At 48.6% G+C, this 7218-nt stretch overlaps 3 pseudogenes, besides 1 other annotated feature; 2 read left to right on the plus strand and 1 right to left on the minus strand.

The window, feature by feature from the left end:
- LOC107987204 (uncharacterized) overlaps positions 1–2320 on the minus strand; it is a 5751-nt pseudogene extending 3431 nt beyond the window's left edge.
- Positions 1–7218: part of a centromere (Linear centromere model derived predominantly from reads generated in PMID: 17803354. This region does not represent an actual centromere sequence, as long-range ordering of repeats and unmapped WGS contigs is not provided by the model. For details of model production, see http://arxiv.org/abs/1307.0035.) that runs on past both edges of the window.
- Positions 119–1972, plus strand: LOC110467536 (RNA, 18S ribosomal pseudogene; annotated as a pseudogene).
- RNA5-8SP (RNA, 5.8S ribosomal pseudogene) lies at positions 3013–3163 on the plus strand (annotated as a pseudogene).

Genomic DNA, 7218 nt, shown 5'->3' on the forward strand with positions numbered 1-7218 from the left:
CCCACCACCCGGAGCTCCTCCCTCCCTACCCCACGCCCCATCGCCCGCCCTGCCACGCCCAATCTCGCAACTGGGACGCCGGGCTCATCCTCGCGAGTCCCAGAGGCCGCTTTCTACCTACCTGGTTGATTCTATCAGAACCATATGCTTGTCTCAAAGATTAAGCCATACATGTCTAAGTATGCAGGGCCGGTACAGTAAAACTGTGAATGGCTCATTAAATCAGTTATGGTTCTTTTGGTCGCTGGCTCCTCTTCTACTTGGAAAACTGTGGTAATTCTAGAGCTATTACATGCCGAAGGGCACTGACCCCCTTCACGGGGAAGATGCATGCATTTATCAGATCAAAACCAACCCAGTCAGCCCCTCTCCGGCCCCGGCCAGGGGGTCGGGTGCCGCCAGCTTTGGTGCCTCTGGATAACCTCAGGCCAATCGCATGCCCCCCGTGGCAGCGATGACCCATTCGAACGTCTGCCCTATCAACTTTCTATGGTAGTCGCTGTGCCTACCATGGTGACCACGGGTGACAGGGAATTAGGGTTCAATTCTGGAGAAGGAGACTTAGAAACGGCTACCACATTCAAGGAAGGCAGCAGACACTCAAATTACCCACTCCTGACACGGGAGGTAGTGACAAAAAATAACAATACAGGACTCTTTCAAGGCCCTGTAATTGGAATGAGTCCACTTTAAATCTTTTAATGAGGATCCATTGGAGGGAAAGTCTGGTGCCAGCAGCCATGGTAATTCCAGCTCCAATAGCGTATATTAAAGTTGTTGCAGTTAAAAAGCTCGTAGTTGAATCTTGGGAACGGGTGGGCTAGCGAGCCACAGCCTGTCCCTGCTTCTTGCCTCTCGGTGCCCCCTGGATGCTCTTAGCTGAGTGTCCTGCGGCCCGAAGCGTTTACTTTGAAAAAATTAGAGTGTTCAAAGCAGGCCCAAGCCGCCTGGATACTGCAGCTTGGAATAATGGAATAGGACCACGGTTCTATTTTGTTGGTTTTCGGAACTGAGGCCATTATTAAGAGGGACGGCCGGGGGCATTCATATTGCACCGCTAGAGGTGAAATTCTTGGACTGGCACAGTTTGGACCAGAGCGAAAGCATTTGCCAAGAATGTTTTCATTAATCAAGAACGAAAGTCAGAGGTTCGAAGACGATCAGATACCGTTGTAGTTCCGACCATAAACGATGCCGACTGGCGATGTGGCAGCGTTATTCCCATGACCCGCTGGGCAGCTTCCAAGAAACCAAAGTCTTTGGGTTTTTGGGTTCCGAGGGGAGTATGGTTGCAAAGCTGAAACTTAAAGGAATTGACAGAAGGGCACCACCAGGAGTGGAGCCTGCATCTTAATTTGACTCAACATGGGAAAACTCACCTGGCCTGGACACGGACAGGATTGACAGATTGATAGCTCTTTCTCAATTCCACAGGTGGTGGTGCATGGCCTTAGTTGCTGGAGTGATTTGTCTGGTTAATTCCAATAATGAACGAGACTCTGGCATGCCAACTAGTTATGCGACCCCCGAGTGGTTGGCATCCCCCAACTTCTTAGAGGGACAAGTGGCGTTTAGCCACCTGAGATTGAGCAATAACAGGTCTGTGATGCCCTTAAATGTCCAGGGCTGCACGCGCGCTGCACTGACTGGCTCAGCGTGTGCCTACCCTATGTGGCAGATGTGGGTAACCTGTTGAACCTCATTGGCAATGGTGATCATTGATTGCAATTTTTCCCCATGAATGAGGAATTCCCAGTAAGTGCTGGTCATAAGCTTGCATGAAGTCCCTGTCCTTTGTACACACTGCAGGTTGCTACTCCTGATTGGATGGTTTAGTGAGGCCCTCGGATCAGCCCCTCCGGGTCAGCCCACTGCCCTGTCGGAACGCTGAGAAGACAGTCGAACTTGACTATCTAGAGGAAGTAAAAGTCGTAACAAAGTTTCGGTAGGTGAACCTGCGGAGGGATCATTAACAGAGAAGAGCAAAGCCACGGAGATGCCGCCATGTCCTTCCTCCTTGGCTGACTGTGTTCCCCTGTGGCGCATGCATGGGTGGGGTCGTGCCCTTTGTTCGTTGCATGGCCCCATCTGCCCCGAGAGCCAGAGAACTCAGAAGGGAGAGAGGGGGTAGAGAGAGACATGCGTGTGGGGATGAAACTGTGTGCTTGTCGTGGGGTGGGCTGGATGGCTCGCCGGCCTGGTGAGCAGTGGGGAGCGGTCCCCTGCTGTGGCCCCCATGTGTGCGTCGGTGGGCGCGGGGGTGGTTCTCGGCGTCATGGTGGGGTGGGGGTCTCGGTGCCCTCCCCACTGGGGCCGTCATCATGCCCTGTCGCACTGTCTTGGCCCCATCCCGCCCGCTCCCGTTGGGGCTGGCCAGGTTCCCATCGCTGCCGCTGCCACCATCGTCGCCTCTGTCAAACCATGCCACTGGCCCGGCCCAGCCTGCTTGCTCTCCCCAGCCTTCCCACTAGGGGGTCTCGAGGGTAGGGGGCTGGACGCCGGTCCCACCCCCCTCATCCGCCCCCACCATCCAGGTACCTAGCGCATTCTGGTGCGGAGGTTTAAGGACCCCTTGGGGGGTCGCCAGTCTGCCTGTGGGTCAGGTGCAGTGGGCCCTCAGTGGAGTCCGTTCAGGAGGGGCCCGCCCCTCCCTCGCCTCCCCTGCTGACTCCATCCCCCCGGCCAGCCGGGGGCCACGCCACACTTGCGTGTCGCCGCTGATGCCGGTGGGGGCTTTACCCAGCGGCCATCGTGCTGTCACACATGCCTTGCATGTGGCCTGTACCCCGCACTGTGGGGGCGGGAACCCCTGGGCTCCCATGGGGTGGTGTCAGCCTTTGTCCCCCCCGTGGTTGGCACCACCTCCCTGTGTTGTGAAACCTTCCAACCCCTCTCTGGAGTCTGGTCCCGTTGCTGTCTGACTGGCCGGCCTGAGGTAACCCCTCTGGGGGACGTGCTGTGCCAGGAGGGCCTCCCGTTGTTGGGAGTGCCCTCGCCAAATCAACCTTGTATGACTTTTAGTGGTGGATCACTCAGCTCCTGCATCAATGAAGAATGCAGCTAGCTGGGAGAATTAATGTGAACTGCAGGACACATTGATCATCGACACTTGAATGCACTTGCGGCCTGGGTTCCTCCCAGGGCTATGCCTGTCTGAGCGTCGCTTGCCGATCAAAATTCCCCAGGGTTGCCTCTGGGCTCCTTGGGGTGCCCAGCTGTTCTGTGGCAGGGCCCACAGGGCCCTCTGTCCCCCCAAGTGCAGACCGGTGACATCCGCCCTCCTCTCCCACTGTGCCCGTCCCTTCCCCCTCCCCCCGCAGGCCCTGTGTGGTCACGCGTTGGGTGGCGTGGGGAAGGGGGGCTCCCGGCTGTGAGGAAGAGAGAGAGGGCAGCACCGCCACTTGTGAAAACAGAAAGGGAAGATAGCCGGCTGTGGCTGAGTTCCTGTGGCCACCTTCATGGTCTGGGATCCTCCCTTGGGGGCTCCCTCATGCCTCATGCAGCTCATGGTGCAGGGTTCATTGGCCCTGGCGGGGTGGAAGGTCCCATGCCGTCGTTGTCTCATGTCGTCGGTGGTGGAGGCTTGCTGGGGGTTGGGAGGAAGGCAAATAGGAAGGGTCCACCGGGGAGAGGGTGGGGGAGCACGTCCCAGTCGCTGCGGTTCACCGTCCACCCCTGGAGGCGGCCCAGTGACTGGCTGACCGCAGCTCCAGTGCCCCTCGTCCCCAACACTCCTCTGAGGCACCATCCTCCTCGCCCGCCCACCCCCTGCCCACCCCCCGCCCGCCCGGCACGTCATGGTGTGTCCGGGGCCGGAAGCCTGCCACACGGCCCGTCTGGCAGTGCTCGTGGCCATGGTCCCATGGTTCGCTTGCCCCTGCTGGAGATCCGCTGGACGCTGTGGTGTCGTCCACTATCGCGTGCCCACCTCCGGCTCTGGGCCACGCGGTGCCTGGGGCCCCATCCGGAGCTTCCATGTTGGGGCAGGGCAGCACCGCCGCATCCTCGGACCCATGCCCCACCTCCATTTAGTACGTAGGCAATCTCATGTAACTTAACAAAGCTAGCATGTCCCTAGACTTGGTGCAGCCACTGTAGGGGTGGCCTCCCAGTAGCATCATTAACATCAATTGTAATTGGTAGGCAATCACTTAGTTTCACATTTCATTACCCGAGTTACACAAAAGTGTAAAAAAATACAGTTTTAATAAAAGGGAGTAAAAGATAATATGAGTAATATTCACAATATCTAGTTGGAAGAGGTAGTGTTTTCTCAGAAATGATGCATTCCTGGAACAAGGTCATTTTGTGTTTGGTTTGTTAAATATCTATTTCCATTTTGACAAACCACTGGAAAAGCCCAGCTTCACAAGGATTCTCCATGAGAACGATCACACAAAAGAACATCCATAACATAAAATCAAAACAAGGGTGGTCCAGTCGTCACATTAAAGGCTCATTACCAAGTTTTCTTAGAAGAGATAAAGAACACAAAGTTACTTTTATGTGATGGAAAACAGAGAGAAAGAGTAAATGCAACAATAAATGTTAGGCAACAACAGTGAAAACAAAGCTGTGGAAAAAAATGAATGGAATTGTTTTGTTTGGTATTGATTTCCTATCCTGATATCAGAAAGTATGGGAAAGAACAAAGCACATTTTCTGAGACAAATAGAACATAAAACAGATGAATGTTAAAGACTATTTTACAGTGCTAACAAAACTATCTGTGGCTTGTTTTTTCCCTTTAAAGATACGATTTTGTACAATTACATTTATATAAATTATTGAAATAAAATTGTAAAGATGGAGAACAGACTATGGGGTTGCCAAGGGGAAGGGGTGGAGGAAAATGTGTTAGAGTGTCAGCAAAGATCCCAAGATGGAGCCTGATGGTGAGACTACAGTTCTGCATCTTGACTGTCGAAGTGGTAGTTACAGAGATCTACACCACATAAAAATGAACAGAACACCCGCACACGCATACACACGTACAAAAATGAATGCATGCAAAACAGTTGCGATCTGAGTAAGCTTTCTGAATTGTACCTATGTCAGTTTCCAGGTTTTGATAATGCTCTATGGCTATGCGAGATGTCACCACTGGAATTAGTGAAGAGTACCTAAGACATCCCTGTACCTTTTGCAACTTCCTGTGAATCTATAATTATTTCAAAAGAAACTTGAAAGTCATAGCAGACTTTCACTTCAAAGAGGAAAAAAACTGAAGATTAATGAAATTGTTGAAGAACATCAAATATTCAATAGTCTGTATGAGAGCTGTATCCTGTCCACTCGCAGCACAGCTGTCATTTAGCCTTTTTCTGACGTGCCCTGGAGGACTTGAGCTCCTCTTGGATTGCCAAGGCCAATAGTGTTTCTTTGTTACTAACTTTGTACTGGACCCCCAAAAATGAAAAGTGATTGAATAATCATTTATAATAACTACTAGTAATTTTACTTATAAAGAGACAATAGTGGTAACCAATTTAAATATTTAGGGTAAAGAATAGGATCTTTGTAAGACAATACTGGCAAAATTTTAAAAGAAAAAATAAGGAATCAGAAACGTAAGTAGTTCAGTATTGTGAAAAAATTCTGGATCTGAGAAGCAAAAGAACAGAGATTGTATTGCGTTTCTGCTCCAAACCTGATGAATCACCTTAGCTGTGTTTTGTTTCTGCACCAAAGCTGCAGAATCACCTTAGGCAATGCATGCCATTTCCCTGAATCTGTTTTCTTTTCTACAAAATAAAGTGAACTAGATCATCTCCAAGGTCCCCCAAATATTCACATTTTGGGCTCTACATGAACTTCTGTTGAATTCCTCATTTCAGTGTGGATAACACATGTGTGCTGCACCACAAGCAGTGTTTCTAAATGCTCATGTTGGTCCTAAAAACTAATTATGAGCAGTTTGGAAATTTTGTTGTTGTAGAATCTGCAAAGGGATATCTGTGAGCACTTTGAGGCCATGGTGAAAAAGGAAATACCTTCACATAAAAACTATAAAGAATGTTTCTGAGAAACTGCTTTGTGATGTCTGCATTCATCTCACAGAGTTAAACGTTTCATTCCCTTGATCAGTCTGGAAACTCTGTTCTTGTACAATCTGCAAAGTGATATTTGTGAGTGCTTTGAGGTCTATGGTGAAAAAGGAAATATCTTCACATAAAAACTAGACAGACGCTTTCTGAGAAACTACTTTGTGACGTGTGGATTCATCTCACAGAGTTAAACCATTCTTTTGATTGAAAAGCTTGGAAATGGTGTTTTTGTAGAATCTGCAGAGGGATATTTGTGAGCACTTTGAGGCCTATGGTGAAAAAGGAAATATCTTCACATAAAAACTAGAAAGAAGATTTATGAGAAACTGCTTTGTGATGTGGGTGTTCATGTCACAGAGGTAAATGTTTCTTTTCATTGAGCAGATTGGAAACTCTGTTCTTGTAGGATCTGCAAAGGGATATTTGTGAGCAGTTTGAGGCCTGTGGTGAAAAAGGAAATATCATCGCATAAAAACTTGACAGAAGTTTCTGAGAAAATTCCTGGTTGTGTGTGCATTCATCTCACAGAGTTGAACCATTCTTTTGATTGAGCAGTTTGGAAACAGTATTTTTGTAAAATTGGCAAAGGGATATTTGTGAGCACTTTGAGGCCAATGATGAAAAAGGAAATATCTTCACATAAAAACTAGACAGACGATTTCTGAGAAACTTTTTTTTTTGATGTGTAGTTCATCTCACAGAGTAGAACCATTCTTCTGATTGAGCAGTTTGGTAACAGTCTTCTTGTAGAATCTGCAAAGGGATATTTGTGAGCGCTTTGAAGCCTATGTTGAAAAAGGAAATGTCTTCACATAAAAACTAGAAAGAAGGTTTCTGAGAAACTGATTTGTGATGTGTGACTTCATCTCACAGAGTTGAACCTTTCTATTGATTGAGCATTTTGGAAACAGTATTTTGTAGAATCTGCAAATGGATATTTGTGAACACTTTCAGGCTTATGGTGAAAAAGGAAATATCTTCACATGAAAACTAGACAGAAGCTTTTGAGAGACATCTGTGTGATGTGTGCACTCATCTCACAGAGTTGAACCATTCCTTTGATTGAGCAATTTGGAAACAGTCTTTTTGTAGAATATGCAAAGGGATATTTGTGAACACTTTGAGACCTATGGTGAAAAAGGAAATATCTTCACATAAAAACTAGACAGAA

Source organism: Homo sapiens, chromosome 14 (assembly GCF_000001405.40).
Source record: "Homo sapiens chromosome 14, GRCh38.p14 Primary Assembly".
NCBI classification, from domain to species: domain Eukaryota; kingdom Metazoa; phylum Chordata; class Mammalia; order Primates; family Hominidae; genus Homo; species Homo sapiens.